Here is a 16,994-nt window from a genome sequence, read left to right as displayed (position 1 = left end):
AATTTTCCTTGCCACCTACGCTGGTTGAGTCAGGATGCTTAATTACTTGGAGGTAAAAAGCACCTAGCTGAAATAGCCATCCCTGAGGCTGCCTGTTGAGGATAGGAGATGCTTCATCCATCTTTAGATCCTTTCTTGGAAACGCTGAGCCTGGCCAGCCATGCAGGCTTTTCCAAGCTCTGATGCTGCCCTGTGTCCACAATAGCATCCCCACAGCCTGGATCCATCATTCCCAGCATTATGATAGCTCCTTTGTCTCCTTGGAAGAGCCCAAAACCCACAGCTGAGGCCTCAGGGCTTTTCTAATGTGCTTAGAACAGGGGTAAAGGTAATGCCAACCAAAATGGGGAAACCTGTATTCTTGCTCAGTCACTGCTTAGTCAGCATAAATCACTCCAGAGGATAGTTTGTTACTGACCTCAAAGACTCAGTTACAAAGATGATCACCATAGCATTGTTTACAGTAGCACCAAAAAAAAGGAACCACCTAAATATCTCTAAATGTCCAACATCACCGTTTGAAAAAATAAGGAATGGTACATCCTTCCATGGAATGTACCTTAAATCCACCCAAAATCATACTGCATATGGATATACAATGTCAAGGAAACTTAGGAGTCCTAGCTTGGGGTCCATGGACGTCCAACGAGATGCTTATCAAAGGGAGTTGGCATCCCCTGAGATGCTCATGAAAGTGCAGACTTCCGGGCCCCCCTCCAGACTGAATCTGCACTTCCAGCTTGGAGGGCAGGAATCCTAACAAGTTCCCCAGATGAGTCTCAGGCACACTAAAGCCAGAGCATCGATGCCTGGGACCCAAAATAGGGAAGAAGCACTCTGGTGTATCAAGAGGAAAAAAGCAAGTTACATACAAACGCAGTATACATAAAAACACCGCCTTCATGTGGGTGTGGGTGTGGGTGTGGGTGTATGCGTACTTTTGAAAAAAAAATTATCGGCTGAGTGCGGTGGCCCACGTCTGTAATCCCAGCACTTTGGGAGGCCAAGGTAGGTGGATCACCTGAGGTCAGGGGTTCAAGGCCAGCCTGGCCAATATGATGAAACCCTGTCTGTACTAAAAATACAAAAATTAGCTGGGCATGGTGGCAGGCATCTGTAATCCTAGTTACTCCAGAGGCTGAGGCAGGAGAATCGCTTGACCCCAGGAGGCGGCAGTTGCAGTGAGCCAAGATCATGCCATTGCACTCCAGCCTGGGTGACAAGAGTGAAAGTCTGTCTCAAAAAAATAAAAATAAATAAATATATATATATATATATAATTTTTTTAATTTTTATTTTTTAGAGACAGGGTCTTACTGTGCCACCCAAGCTAGAATGCAGTGGCACAATCTTGTCTCACTACCCAATCTCAAACTCCTGGGCTCAAGTGATCTTCTCCACTCAGCCTCATGAGTAGCTGGGACTACAGGCATACTCCACCGCACCTGGGTTTTTTGTTTTGTGTTTTGTACAGACAGGGTCTCACTATGTTTGTGTTCCCTGGATGGTCTTAAACTCTTGGCCTCAAGCGATCCTTCTGTGTCAGCCTCCCAAAGTGTTGGGATTACAGGCGTGAGCCACCACGTCCAGCCTGTGTGTGTGTACTAATAGCTACCTAGATAACAATACTTAACAGCAGTTACCTCTAGATTACCTCAGCACCATTGACAATCAGCCCGAAGACTTTGTGGTGGGGCTGTCCTGTGTGTTGTAGGGTGTTAGCAGTATCCCTGGGTGCAGTAGTGTAACAATCAAAAATGTGTTTGGTAGCATAAAAGTACAACTATAGTTAACAACAATTTATTGTATATTTTAGAGTAACTAACATAGTGAAATTAGAATGTTCCTAACACACAAAAAAGATACATACCTGAGGGTATGAATATCTGTCACCCTGATTTGATTATTATTTATTATATGTTTATATCAAAATATCACATGTACCCTGTAAGTATGTATAAATGTTATGTATAATTTAGATTTATTTTAATTTTAATAAAAAATAAATATTTAAAAATGTCTTCAGATATTGCTAAATGTCCCCTCAAGGAACAAGGTCCCCAGTTGGAGAACCGATTCTCTAGATGGGACATGTATAGATGATGCTTTCCTTTGTTTTTTAGTATATATGCCTATTTTTTAGTTTTTTCTAAAATAAGTGTACTTTAGTCATGTTAAAAAAAACTTTGTATTTATTACTGTCCCATTGCCTGCACTGTCTGAAAAAAATACACTCAAATGAAAAGATACATTAATACTTACAGTAAGAAAATTAATTTTATTATTATTTTAAAATAGCTGTGGAAAAACTATACAAAGGCCTCCCAAATGTCAATATTCCTTAGGCACCTTTGAAATATTTATAAACTTAATCTTTGGACTAGGCATCCTAATTGTAATTCCATATCTTAAAGAAGCAATTCTAAATATAGGAAATGCTTCACAAATATGGTTGATTTTTGCAGAGTTACCTATAAAAGCAAAAAGTTATAAACACTGTAAAACCAACCATAGGAAACTGTGTTAATTAAGGTACATTCACTTGATAGACTATCATACAGCATTAAAATGATATTTATAAAGAACTTATAACAATATGGGGGCAAGGTTTATGCCATATTGTTAAGTAGGAAAATAACTGAATACAAAATCAAATATGTTACATCACCATTCAAAGGTATAATAATGACAATAAAAAGAATCTCATCAACATGGTCGGAAGAAATACACCAAGATATTAAAAGTAATTGTTAATTGAACAATGGCATCGTAGGTGACTTTTTCTCTCTACTTTTCTGAAATATCCAAATTTTTTACAATAAACATGTATGTATTTACAGTGAAAGAGAGAACAGTGAAATTTCTTTTTAAAAATACTTGAAAATGATCACAAAAATGTGCCAACATTTCAGGTAAGAAATGTGTTTTTATATTGGTCTGTATACAAATTTCTATCCAGCTGATAAAAATAACTTCAAGAAATTAAACCTATTCAGAAACAATAGTGATTGTGTCTAAATTCATAGGCTTTGAGAAGGATAAATTTTTAAAGTGTAAATTACTATGCAGGTGGTCAGGAAAAGGTTGTATGGAGTCACATGATAAATGACACAAAGAAAATGCTTTTTATGAAAAACAAACTGGATAGATTTTTTCCCAAGCCAGAATCACATTCTTCTAAATCATTTAGAAGGCAATAAAATAATTTGGGCTTGATTAGCATTTAACTAACCAAGGACAGATTCCAGCCACCTTATGGATTTTGATCTAACTTGTTTACATTCATCAGAGGTGATGGGCAGTTCCAGCCCACAGGAAGCACAATCTTTGCAGACAAAAGGTGGCCCTTCTCATGTTTGTCAGGCAATATTTGTCCAACCTGGCCATTCCCAGTTGGCTCCAATGAACTCTTGTTAGCTCACTCCTCGGTCTCTTGTGGAACCAGACTATATCTTACAATAGACCTCAAAGAGGGAGGCAGCTGCGTGCATTCCATAGAAAATAGAAAAAGGCATGGCCAGGTTGACCACAATTATCCAGGGTTCAAAGCCAAAGACAATCTCCTCCAATCCGTTGTCATACTCAGGTCGACAGCCAAAAGCGGGAGGTATCCAAAGCTGCAAGAGAAGAGAAAATGGCCTGTGGTGGGGAGCAGCTTCCAAGCCACCATGGAGGCCCCACTCAAGTCCCAGGCCTCATGGGAGCTGACCCTGATGCACGGGGACTGAGTCACCCCTGACAGAACAATAAGGAGACCTCGTGGCATTTCCCATCTCCACAGAAACCACCAAATCCATGTCTGCCATGATCCTGCTCACTTCCTCACCCACCCTTCCCTGCAATCCATCCCTAATGAGCGCTCTTTGAACCCATCCAACTCTCTCCATCTCTACAGCCCTCGCCCAGCCTCAGTTTCCTCATTTGAAAGATGGGAATTCTAACACGTGTCTGAGAGGGCTTAGATGAGAATTAAGTTTGCAAAACTGAAAGCAGTGACTTTTGTTTGTGTTGCTCACGGAACCTACACACTGTTCCCTGCTTCTCAGGCTCTTCTCTGTCCCAGTTCTCTCCCTTTCTGCCACCCCTTGAGTTGTCAGGCTCCTCACTCCTGCTTCAGGCTGCACCCTTCTTCAGCTTCCTCCACTCCCTGGCTGTGGCAGGCAGCCTCTAGCATGACCCTCAATGATCCCCAGCTCCTGCAGTCACCCTCTTGTGGAGTCCCCACCCCTTTAGTGTGGGATGCACCTAACGACTCACTTCCAACTCACAAAATATGGCAAAAGACACAGGAAGTCACTTCTGAAATTAGGTTGCAAAAGGACCTGTTATCCCTCTTGCTCATCTTCTCCTGAAAGACAGGTGGCAGAGCTGCCATGCTGCGAAGCACCCTACGCGGCAAGGGGCCCAGGGAGTACTCCTGTCAACAGCCAGCAAGGAACTCAGACCCTCAGCCCAACAAGCCACAGCTGAATCCTGCCAACAGTCACATGAGTAGATTTGGAAACAAATCCTCTGCCACCTCTCGGAAAGTCAAGCCTTGAAATGAATGCAGCCCCAGCCAACAGTTTCAGCCTGGGAATGGCCCTGTGCAGAGATACTCAGCTAAAACTGTAGTTGGATTCATAAGTCAGAGAAACTATGAAATCATAAATGTACATTGTTTTAAGTTGCTGAGTATTGGGGTGGTCTCTTCCATAGCAATACGTAACTGAGACACATAGCCTTCATTTGTATCTCCATACAGAACACTCCCTGGTATATACAGCCGACCTCTGTATCCAGGGACCTGTGTCTGTGGATTGAACCAACCACAGATCAAAAATATTCAAAAAGTAGGCTGGGCACAGTGGTTCACACCTATAATCCCAGAACTTTGGGAGGCCGAGGCAGGTGGATCACCTGAGGTCAGGAGTTCAAGGCCAGCCTGGCCAACATGGTGAAACCCCATCTCTACTAAAAATGCAAAAAATTAGCAAGGTGTAGCGGCATGTGCCTGTAATCCCAGCTACTCAGGGGGCTGAGGCAGGAGAATCCCCTGAACCCAGGAGGCGAAGCTTGCAGTAAGCCAAGATCATGCCACTGCACTCCAGCCTGGGCAACAGTGAAGCTCGGTCTCAAAAAATAAAAATAAATTAATTAAAAAAATAAAATGGTTTGTTGTGTCTGTACTGAATAGGTACAAACTTTCTTCTTGTCATTATTCTCTGAACAATACAATGTAACAACTATTTACATAGCATTTAAATTGTATTAGGTATTCTAAGTAATCTAGAGATGTCTTAAAGTGTACGGGAGGATGGGTAGGTTACATGCAAGTATTACCCCATTTTATATATAGGACTTGAGCATCTGTGCATTTGGTATACACCACGGGGGCCCTGGAACCAAGACCCCTCTCTTCTGCTTTGCTTACTGGCTGCTGTGACTCTTAGGAGCTCTCCTACTTGTTCGGCGGGTCCTTCCCAGTCTCCTTTGCTGTTTCATCCTTTGCTCTGCCTCTTAATGTTAGCCAGCATCCAGGGCTCATTCCTGGGTCCCTTTCTATTCTCTCTACACATGAACCCTGGGGCTCTCTCCCAGTCCCTGGTTGTAAATACCAGCTATAGGCCTATGACTTCCCAGTCTCAATCTCCAGCCTGGACCACTTCCAAGAACCCCAGACTCATAGTTTCCGGTGGCAACTTGGGTGTCTAAAACACATCTCAAACTCAACCCACCTTCCCCATTTCTCCATCTGCTCAGCTACATCGTCCTCCCAGGTGGTCCATCGAGGCTCCAGGTGTCAACCTTATCTCCCTCCTACTCTCATAACCATGCCCCCTCCCATCCAGTCCCTCAGCGCATCTCCACTGTGCACCTCCAAAGCAGTATCTTCAGCCCACCTGTGGCTCTCTCTCTCCACCTGTCCAGCCGGCCTCTCTCACCTGGACCATGGCGGTGGCCCCGTGCCTGGTCTCCCAGCTCGAACTAGGGTTCCACTCGGCCACCAGATTTACATTATATGGAAATCAGATCCTGTCCCTACCTTGATTAAACCCCTAAAGTCTTCCCAAAATATTTAAAATAAATTCTACACTCCCGCACTGAGTGATAAAGTGCTCTGTTAGCTGATTTCTAACCACCCACGCTTCTCCCCACTCACCCCACCCACATTGCAGGCAACCCTTCTTCCTGTTTCTCAAACCAGACCCGCTCACTCCCACTGGGGGTTTATACCAGCCATTGTTCCCTCTGCCCTGAACATGCGTGGTCAACCCCTTCCTGTCTCATGTCACCCTTCAGCGAGGCCTTCCCGCTAAGCTGGTCCATCTGATCTACAATGGCAGCCCAAGAGCTATTTCCCACACCCTCCTTTTCCACTTCTCTGCTTAACACGGGTACACTATAAGGTGTCTTTCTTGCTCAGTTGATGGTTTCACCTGCTGTTGCCTGGTTTGTAAGCCCCATAAGAGGAAGACCAGAGATCTTGGTCATTGCTGTACCCTCACCATTCATAGCAGTCCCTGTACCTCTGTAGGTACTTAAGGGACACCTTTTAAAAGAAGGGTGAGAGGAAGGGCAAGGGAGACAGGGAGGAAAAGGGAGAAGAAAGGAAGGCAGGAAAATGGGACCTCTTTTCTGAAATCCACATCTTTATATGTGCTGTTTAGTTGGCTGGAAATTCTTGTTACTTATCCTATTGAGAAGTGGCCTATGACCTCTTTCTTTGAATCTAGATGGACTCTGTGACTACATGACTAATAAAATATGGCAGAAATGACACCATGCAGTTTCCAAGCCCAGGCCTTAGGAGACAGGCAGCTTCCAGTTCAGTCTTTTGGAGGGTCAGCTCTGGGGCCCTCAGCCATCACGCATGGAGTCCAACCACCCTGAGACGTCATGCTGGAGACCCACCTGTGGATGCCCCAGTCAAGAGTCCTGGCTGAGCCCAGCCTCCCAGCCACCCCCACCCAAGGCATCAGACCACGAAGCTTCTGGCCAAGGCTTCACCAACTTCACTTGATGCTGTGAGGAACAGAACTGCCCATCCAAGCCCTGCCAGAATTTCTAACCCACAAAGCCATGAGTCACAATAAATGCCATGGGACAAAAACAGTCATGCATGTTGCTTTTGTCATACATTAGTGGTAGTTCATCGCACGGCAATAGAAAACCAAAATACCTGTCTACTGGGTTCGTCCATTTGGATGCCACAGAGGCACCTGAAACAGAACACGTTCATTACTTAACTCTGGTTCTTCCTTCCACACTGACCTCCACCCACTGCTCCCAAGGTTGCCCCTCCTCCAGAGTCCTCCATCTCCAACATAGTATCACCATCTCCCCAGGAACTCAAGTGTGAAGGCAGGGGTCATGTTTGGCATCTGTCACCCTTTGCGAGTTGCAACCTGGAGACCCTGGAGGGTGTTATGATGAGTGAAATAACCTAATCACAAAAGGACTAATACTCCACAAATTCACTTATATGAGGAGTCTAGGAGTCAAATTCCTAGAGACTGAAAGAACGGTGGTTGTCAGGGGCTGGGGAGAATGGGGAGTTCATATTTAATGGGGGCAGAGTTTCAGTTTTGCCAGATGAGAATAACCTGGAAATGGATGGTGTGATGTTTGCACAATGTGAACGTACTTTACTCCACTATACATTTGAAAGTGGGTGCAATGGAAAAGTTTATGTGATGAGTTTTTTACCACAATTAAAAATATAACAAAATAAGCATGAGTCAGATCCCGTCACTCTCAGTGTAGACCTTTCCATGGTTTTCTGTTGCATTTAAGATTGAGTCTTGGCTCGCAGGCCCTGTGTGGTCTCCCCTCTGCCCTCTGCTCTGTGCTCCCAGGTCATGTCCAGTGAGCCCTGCCTTGCCTTGCATCCGTCCCTTCCCCACACCTGCAGCTCTGCCCTGATAGTCTCTCATCCCAGCCCCATCCACACCCTTCCTTAGAAGAGGCCTTCCCTGACCCATCTCCCACAGCACCCTGCCCTTCCCCGTCACCACAACCACCCTCTGTTGTCTCCAGTGCCACGGCTCCTGGAAATTCAACTAACATTTCCATGTCCGTCTCTGGAGTGGAGCCCACTCCACCTGGACATGCACATCAGCACCTGCAGCTGGGGCCTCTGGACTGGCTCCCGATGCTGGAGAAGACAGCTCTTGCTCTCTGCCAGATGCCTTTGGCACCACCTGGGGTCAACCACAAGGTTTCAAAGTGCCACCCCATGAGCCAGCACGGGTATCCTAAGACTCCACCCTGCGATGATTTCCATCCTCTGGTTCAACCCCCCAGAACCCAACCAGTGCCTGGGGGCATCATGGGCCAAGCACAGGGAGGAAGAGACGGAGCCCACCCTTCTCCTTGGACTGGGCCCTGGGTCTGGCTTTCGGGTCCTGACAGACCATGAATTGCCACTTGATTCTGGTATTTCAGACAGTGCTATCTTTCTTCAAGTGGGTCCAAAAATGCAAGCCAAGTATTTCACCCAGTGGTCAACCAAAAAGGCAACCAGGGAAAGACAACTTTTCAGAACTTAGTTTTAAAAAGAAATATTAGGTCAGAAGCAGTGGCTCGCGCCTGTAATCCCAGCATTTTAGGAGGCCTAGGCAGGCAGATCACCTGAGGTCAGGAGTTCGAGACCACCCTGACCAACCTAGTGAAACCCTGTCTCTACTAAAAGTAGAAAAATTAGCTGGGCATGGTTGTTGCATGCCTGTAGTCCCACCTCCTCGGGAGGCTGAGGCAGGAGAATCACTTAAACCCAGGAGGTGGAGGTTGCAGTGAGCCGAGATCGCACCATTGCACTACAGCCTGGGCAACACAGCAGGACTCCATCTCAAAATATATGTATATTAATATTAATCACAGGATATGTACAAAAAGCATATACTTGAGGAAGATTCTAGAACTAGCTCTGACTTTATAAGAATTTGCATTTTGGAATATGCACCTCAAAAAAATGCAGCTTACAGTATCTATCTCTCTTGTTAACTCTTTCAATTTTTGACTCACTGCTGTGCCCCTGACATAGTCCCTGGCATACAGCAGGTGCCTGGCAAATGTCTGTTAGATGGAGAAGAGGGTCTCCCTGCAGCCAAACTCTTCTGGGCCTTCCACCTTCAGAGCCCCTCCTCACTGCCTAACAAACTGAAGGAACCTGGGTGATCCAAGGCTAGGGTGGATCAGGTTTGCTTGGCAGACACACAGCCATTCTGACTTTAGAAGGGACTTACTTTCCCAACTTTGTGTTCTTAGGGTGATATCAAAAGCTGCAGGCCCCATATGCACCATCTGAAATTCAGGGGAGGAAGCTCAAAAGCCTCTGAGCTGCTGGGGCAACAGGGAGCAGGCTTGATAACAGAGGCTAGTAGCACAGAGCTGACTTCACCCAGAGTGATGGGCAGGCACCTCTGTGGACTGGGGCACTCCCCTCCAGCCACCAGTCACCATCACTGCAGAGACTCATGCGGTGGCAAAGGCTGCTTCCCCCTCCTTCTTACTGACCCCCACCATCCTTCCTTTATGTGTCTTTAAAAAAATCCCAACAGCACACAATGCTTCTTATTCCTTTTTCTTCTCTCCATCCCTCCATCACTGCCCTAGTTCAAGCTCCTCCCCTTCCTGCCTGGGCTGTTGCAGGGCTTTCTCTCCCAGTCTTTCTGCTTCTGGCCCTATCTGTCTCCATCCTTGCTACACACAGCTACTGGGAGGATCATTCCAAAACACAAATCTGAGAGAGTCTTCCCTTGCCCTCAGCATAAAGACTAGACTCCAGCCAGGCCTAGGAAGCCCTGCTCAAGCCAGAGTCCACCTACCTGGGCCCTCTCTCCTATTTCCCATTCTGCTACTCTGCTTAACACACATGGAATTTATGCCAAACTACTTGGTGCTCTCAAAACATGCCATGGTGTCTTTTGCCTCTGTGTCTTCACATATTGTGTGTCTCTGCCTGAAATGCTTTTCCCCGCCTTGATAACCTGGTGAACTTCCAGTCATTCCTTGCTGATGCAGACAGATGGGTGAGTGACTGTACACCTTCCTCTCCCTTGCTACCTTCCATCAGAGAGGCTGGGAAGCAAACCGTCCACTTCCCCAGCCTCCCTTGCAGTGAGGGGTGCCCACATGAGAGACATTGTCTGGCACCAGCCCTTCCCCACTGCTTTCTGTCTTGAACCCAGATGTGATGCCTGGTGCAGCTGCAGCCATCTCATGACCATGTCGCAACAAACACCACACGACCCAAGTGACAAGATGAACAGTGCCTGGATGCCTGATGACACGGTTCAGCTGCCAGGCCAACCCCAAGCAGCCAACCTCTGGAATTCTCAGGAGATAATTAAACATTGTTAAGACTGAAGACACTGTGAATCAAATTGCCTGTCACTTGCAACTAAAAGCACTCCTGATTGACACTGGGCCTCACCTCAAGCACTCACTACTCACTGAAGTCCTTCTGGATCCCTGCTCCTAGTACACCTTGCACAAGCCCATCTCAGCACTTGTCCTGTTCACTATATTAGATTTGCTCATTGTCTCCCTCCCCCATTATACTGAGACCTTTTAGAGGAAAGAGACTGAGTCTTTCCACTTTAATCTTTAGTACCTAGCCCAGCCCCTAGCACACAGCAAGTCTTCAGTAGGTAGATTTGTAGAATATAGGTCTATTTTCCAGCCTTATATTGTAATTTTATACTTACAGTATTTTTATTACAAGCTGCCTCCATTCCTTATTTTAAAAAGGCAAGAGAAACCTAGATGTCCATCAATAATGGACTGGATAAAGAAAATGTATTATGGCCGGGTACAGTGGTTCACATCTGTAATACTAGCACTTTAGGAAGCTGAGGCAGGAGGATTGTTTGAGCGCAGGAGTTCAAGACAAGCCTGGGCAGCACAGTGAGAACCTATCTCTACAAAAAAAAAAAAAAAGTTTTGGCCAGGCATGGTGGCTCACACCTGTAATCCTAGCATTTTGGGAGGTCAAGGTAGGTGGATCACTTGAGGTCAGGAGTCCGAAACCAGCTTGGCCAACATGGTGAAACCCCCATCTCTACTAAAAATATTTTCAAAAATTAGCCAACTGTGGTGGCAGGTGCCTGTAATCCCAGCTATTCTGGAGGCTGAGGCAAGAGAATCACTTCAACTCGGGAGGCAGAGGTTGCAGTGAGCACCATTGCACTGTAGCCTAGGCAACAAGAGTGAAATTCTGTCTCAAAAACAAAAAAAGTTTTTAAAATTAACCAGGTGTAGTGGCACATGCCTGTGGTCCCAGGTACTCAGGAGGCTGAGATGGGAGGATTGCTTGAGCACAGGAGGTCGAAGCTGCAGTGAGCTGTGATCATGCCACTGCACTCCAGCCTGGGCAATGGGGCGTGACCCTCTCTCAAAAAAAAAAAAAATAGAAAATGTGGTAGCTCTACACCATGGAATATTATGCAGCCTTAAAAAAGAATGAAATCACATTATTTGCAGCAACCTGGATAGAAATGGAGTCCTTATCCTAAGTGAATTAACACAGGAACAGAAAACCAAATACCTCATGTCCTCTCTTATAAGTGGGAGCTAATGGTAGTCATGAACACAAATATATGAACAATAGACACTACTAGGGACTACTAGGGGGAGAGGTCAGAAGTGGGGTGCAGGGTGAAAAACTACCTATCGGGTACTATGCTCATTACCTGGGTGGCGGGATCATTTGTGCACCAAACCTCAGCGACACGCAATTTACCCATGTAACAAATCTGCATGCGTACCCCTTGAACCTAAAATGAAAGTTTACAGCAAAATTAAAAGAATAAGAATAACTTGGTGCAGATTACCAAAGTATTGCAGAGGAACAAGAAGGCTGCAATATTCCTCAGGACTTTTCTCTTGGCGTTGCCCTGTAAGAAACGAGGAAGGTGGACTGGGCTTGGGTTCCCTCCCCAGCTGCTCTCCTCCTGCTTCTCCTCCTTGTCACAACTTTCTCTCAGGCACACATTTCCATTGGCTGCTGGTGGCATGTCCCTGCCCCAGGGAGCCACGTCTCCGGCCACAACTCCACTCTTGAGGCAGGAGGAAGCAAGGGGCATGGTGTTGCCATTGCAGACTGTGACCATCCGAAGGGTTTGGATGTCCTCAGAGAGTTTTTTAGGCTCTCGGTGAATGGATTCAAAGATGAAGAGGTTCTGGATGTACTTCTCCATGATCACCACGATGGAGTAGGGCAGGTTGTACCAGGTGTAGTGGGGGTGGTCCTCGGCACAAAGGATGGCCAAGATTGAGCCCCAGGAGATAAGCCAGGAGCCTGAGGCAGTGCCCACCAAGAGGTCCGAGTCCAGTTTGCGGGGCGGATTTTTGGACTCATCCAGTGACTTCTCATCTGTCCTGTAAATCCGGATTCCAGCCAGCCCCGCAGCCCCCATAAGCATCATCAGGGTGATGACATACAGGTAGAACGTGATGAGTGCTGACTCGCTCTTGGTCTTGGAGCACCCAATATGAATCAGGTACACCACCCACCACCACGGCAATGGTGGCAGCCAGCGCGGTCAGGCCCAGGACTGTGCCCACCGTGACCCCATCAGGCTTGAACTGCATCTTCTGGTGCTGATGGCTGTCAACTTTGCGCCCGATGTTCTTCCATAGGACGTAGAGCACTGTGGAGGCCAGGATCTGATACTCTATGTTGAAGGGGTAGAGGTAGTAGTTATAGTAGATCCCGTGGGAGATGGTGGTGCAGAGAGTTGGGGGCGTGCAGTTACACTGCGGTGTGTGGTCATCTAAAACTAGGGGAGACAGGTTGATCACACAGAGGGGCTATTAGCAGGTGCAAGGGGAAGCAGAAAAGCACAGAAAACTGTTTCCACTGTGGATTCAGGCTTGAGTCTTCCCACTGGATTACAAGCTTTTTCATGTCATGGCTTATTATCACGTTTAATATGATGGCTAATTTGATAGCCCTGAGTATCCCCAAAGCATATTCATTACCTAAATCACATTTATTTGGTGAGTTGCCAAAGAGGATAGAGAAGATGACTCTATTGTTGTAAAAAATAGATATGTAGATGATAGATAGATAGATGGATACACACACACACAGACAGACAGAAAAAACCTGGAAGGACACAAACTAAAATGTCAACAATTGTTATCTCTGGGTGGAAAAATGACAGATGATTTTTAACCTCTTCTAGATTTTGCTTCCCTGTATTTTCTAAATTTTTTCTGTGAAGATGATTTACATGTGTGATTTTTTAAGATTATTTTTAAAAAATACTTTCTGGAGAAAATGCCCCTTTTAATTAGCAAAAGATATGCCTCTTAAGACTCCAGTGCTAGCAAGCATGCAGGAGACAGGTGCTCTCTGATATCAGTGCGGGGAAAGTAAACGGGCACCACCTTCTGGAAGAGAAGCTGGCTGTCATATGGAGGGCCCTCTCATCACAGGAGGGCAGATGCTGCAAGTAAATGACGAAACAGGTCACCAAAGCCCTGAAGGCGATGCAGTCTCTGACCCATAATTCCATTCTTTCCATTCTACCCTTCTACTCAAAGGGACAAATAAAAATGTAATCAAAGAGTCAGGTAAGGCCAGGAGTGGTGACTCAGCCCTGTAATCCCAGCACTTTGGGAGGCCAAGGCATGTGGGTCACTTGAGGTCGGGAGTTCGAGACCAGCCTGGCCAACATGGTGAAACCTCATCTCTATTAAAACTACAAAAATTAGCCAGGTGTGGTGGCAAGCCTGTAATACCAGCTACTGGGGAGGCTGAGGCAGAAGAATCGCTTGAGCCTGGGAGGCAGAGGTTGCAGTCAGCTGAGATCGCACCGCTGCACTCCAGCCTAGGTGACAGAGTGAGACTCAGTCTCAAAAAATAATTTAAAAAAAGTCAGGTAAAATTGTGTGTGTTTGTGTGTGTGTGTGTGTGAGAGAGAGAGAGAGAGACAGAGAGAGAGAGAGAGAGAGAGAGAGGAACAGCTCAAAGTCCAACAATTTAGAAATTGTTAAGTAAATTTTAGTATATCCCAACAATGAGATAGTAGACAGCCACTGCACGTTATAATTAAGATGTGCTTTATGGTTTTGGGTATGGGGGGGGGGTTTGTTTTTTGTTTGTTTTGAGACAGAGCCTCCTCTGTTGCCCAGGCTGGAGTGCTGTGGCACAATCTTGGCTCACTGCAACATCAGCCTTCTGTGCTCAAGCATCCTCCTACTTCAGCCTGCTGAGTAGCTGGGACCACAGGCCCATGCCACCACTCCCAGCTAATTTTTATATTTTTTGTAGAGACAACGTTCCGCCATGTTGGCTAGGCTGGTCTTGAACTCCTGAGCTCATGCGATCTGCCCACCTCAGCCTCCCGAAGTTCTGGGATTAAAGGCATGAGCCACTGCACCCAGCCAGGATGTGTTTTAATATTAAGAAAGTAATCTCGTTTCAAGGAAAATGGAAAAAAGTAAGAACAAACTGTATATTTCTTTAATGCAAGTCACAACCCAGTACAAGGCTGCAAAATCAGGTAGCAACCAACTTTTTTGTAGCAGAAATAATTTTCAGTGGACTAGAATGGGATAGAATGGAGTGGAATCAACTCCGATAAAATTTGGAAGCATCTCTGATACAGTAAAATTAAGTATTATTTCATCAAGCATACACACATAAGTATGTGTGTGTTTGGATTACAGTGTAAAATCTGTCTCTTATTGAAGGTTGCAATAAAAAAAGATCAAATATATAGTATAAAATCAACTATAAATAAATGGCACACTACAAAAAAATAACCAAACATTCGCAGCACTTACTGCATTTCTGGGTAAGTGTTGTGGATTTTTTTGCTTCACACTTTGTCATTGTTTTAGTTTATGATATGTATATATTACTTACAAAATCTGAGAAAAGCAGCTGGGTGTGGTGGCTCATGCCTGTAATCCCAGCACTTTGGAAGGCCGAGGCAGGTAGATCACAAGGTCAGGAGATTGAGACCATCCTGGCTAACATGGTGAAACCCTGTCTCTACTAAAAATACAAAAAATTAGCCAGGCGTGATGGTGGGCGCCTGTAGTCCCAGCTACTCAGGAGGCTGAGGCAGGAGAAGAGTGTGACCCCCGGGAGGCAGAGCTTGCAATGATCCGAGACCATGCCACTGCACTCCAGCCTGGGCGACAAGCGAGACTCCGTCTAAAAAAAAAAAAAATCTGAGAAAAACTATATCGTAGCATTAATTTTACTTTCACAGAACACTATGAAATTTTCTTTTTCTTTTTTTATTCTTTTTTATATAGGGTCTCCCTCTGTTGCCCAGGCTGGAGTGCAGTGGCACAAACACAGCTCACTGCAGCCTTGACTTCTTGGGCTCAAGTGATCCTCCTGCATCAGTCTCCCATGTAGCTATAGCTGGGACCACGAGCCCATGCCACCATGCCTGGCTTTTTTTTTTTTTTTTCCAGAGCTGGGGTCTCCCTTTGTTGCCCAGGCTGGTCTCAAATTCCTAGGCTAAAGCAATGCTCCTGCCTTAGGATTACAAAGTGCTCAGATTACAGGTGTGAGTCACTGCCCCAGTAATAATCTTCAATTCACACAGGGCTTCCCTAGCACTTACAATTCAATACGGTGTTATGCAGAAGACAAGGGAAGAAATCAGGAGGAAAAGTTCAGAGTAACAGAATGTTACAGCTGACAGAGTCCTTTTTTAGAAAATTAATCCAACCTCATCTTTCACAGAGGGCCTTGAAGCCAGATTGTTAGGATTCAAATCATGGCTGTATCACATGTTCACTGTGTTACCCTGGGCTAACTTCTCCGTGGCTTGATGCCTTCATCCATATAATGAGGTTAATATTGTCTACCTGAGGCCAGGCGCAGTGGCTCACGCCTGTAATCCCAACAGTTTGGGAGGCCAAGGCTGGCGGATCACAAGGCCAGGAGTTGGAGACCAGCCTGGCCAACATAGTGAAACCCCGTCTCTATTAAAAATACAAAAATTAGCCAGGTATGGTGGCACGCACCTGTAGTCCCAGCTACTCAGGAAGCTGAGGCAGGAGAATCACTTGAACATGGGAGGCAGAGGTTGCAGTGAGCCGAGATCACGCTACTGTACTCCAGCTTAGGCGACAGAGTGAGACTCTGTCTCAAAACAAACAAACAAACAACAATATATATATATATATATATATATATATATATATATATATATATATATATATATACACATACATATACACACATATATAGCCTACCAGAGAGTGTGGGGGTACAAATTAAATGACATGTGTAAATTTCCAACAACAGTGGCAGGCACTCAGCAAATGCTTAATAAAAATTTACTTTTGTTATTGTTGTCATTGCTGCTACTAATATTGATACCAAAGAGGACATGAGGCCCAAACACCGAGTGCCTGCTGGTTGGGGGTGGTGACTTCGTTGTCTCCACCCCACTGATGACAAAACAGGTTCAAAGTGGCTCTCCAGGACAGCCTGGGTTCACACAGCTGTCACAGACTTGCTGCATGTTAAAGCTGGAAGGGATCTTTGCAAGTGCATGATTTGGATACCCTCACTTTACAAATGAGAAAAGGGAGGCTCAGAGAGATTAAAAGTCTTCTAAAGGTCACACAGCTTGTACATGATGGGAACAAACCTGAGACACCCAGTTCCCTGCCCCACATTCCCCTCAGCCTGAATGTTCTCATATAGAAGTGACATATTGTAAATGCTAAAGGATTTTAGATGAAAATATAAAGATTAACCCAACAGGCTCTCAAATAGGAACAAGGTAGAACAGACATGAGCTAGAATTATAAGCCAACTACAGTTAAATTAAAACTTTAAATGAACCACAGCCTATTAACCACAACCTACCATTAGACTTTTATGAATTTTTAAAAGCCATACTTTTACTAGAAAGAACTGGTAATAGAGGTTTAATTAAAAACACAAGCAGAGGCAACCATCAATCTTCTGTAGTTGAAAACAAAGACATTTATTTCTGCGGCAAACTGGACCATGAGAAATGGCCATC

The 16,994-nt window shown here is 45.4% G+C and overlaps 1 pseudogene, besides 1 other annotated feature; it reads right to left on the bottom strand.

The window, feature by feature from the left end:
• LOC388996 (otopetrin 1 pseudogene) overlaps nt 3,370-16,994 on the bottom strand; it is a 32,073-nt pseudogene continuing 18,448 nt past the window's right edge.
• Nucleotides 11,989-12,492: an enhancer, noted in NCBI's record as "H3K27ac-H3K4me1 hESC enhancer chr2:91800405-91800908 (GRCh37/hg19 assembly coordinates)". NCBI's record gives its function as "activates a minimal SCP1, AML or CMV promoter by ChIP-STARR-seq in primed H9 embryonic stem cells {active_cell/tissue: H9 hESC(primed)}" and the evidence as "EXISTENCE:reporter gene assay evidence [ECO:0000049][PMID:30033119]".

Source organism: Homo sapiens, chromosome 2 (genome assembly GCF_000001405.40).
Source record: "Homo sapiens chromosome 2, GRCh38.p14 Primary Assembly".
In the NCBI taxonomy this organism is placed as follows: Eukaryota; Metazoa; Chordata; class Mammalia; order Primates; family Hominidae; genus Homo; species Homo sapiens.
This window is presented reverse-complemented; position numbering and strand designations above follow the sequence as displayed.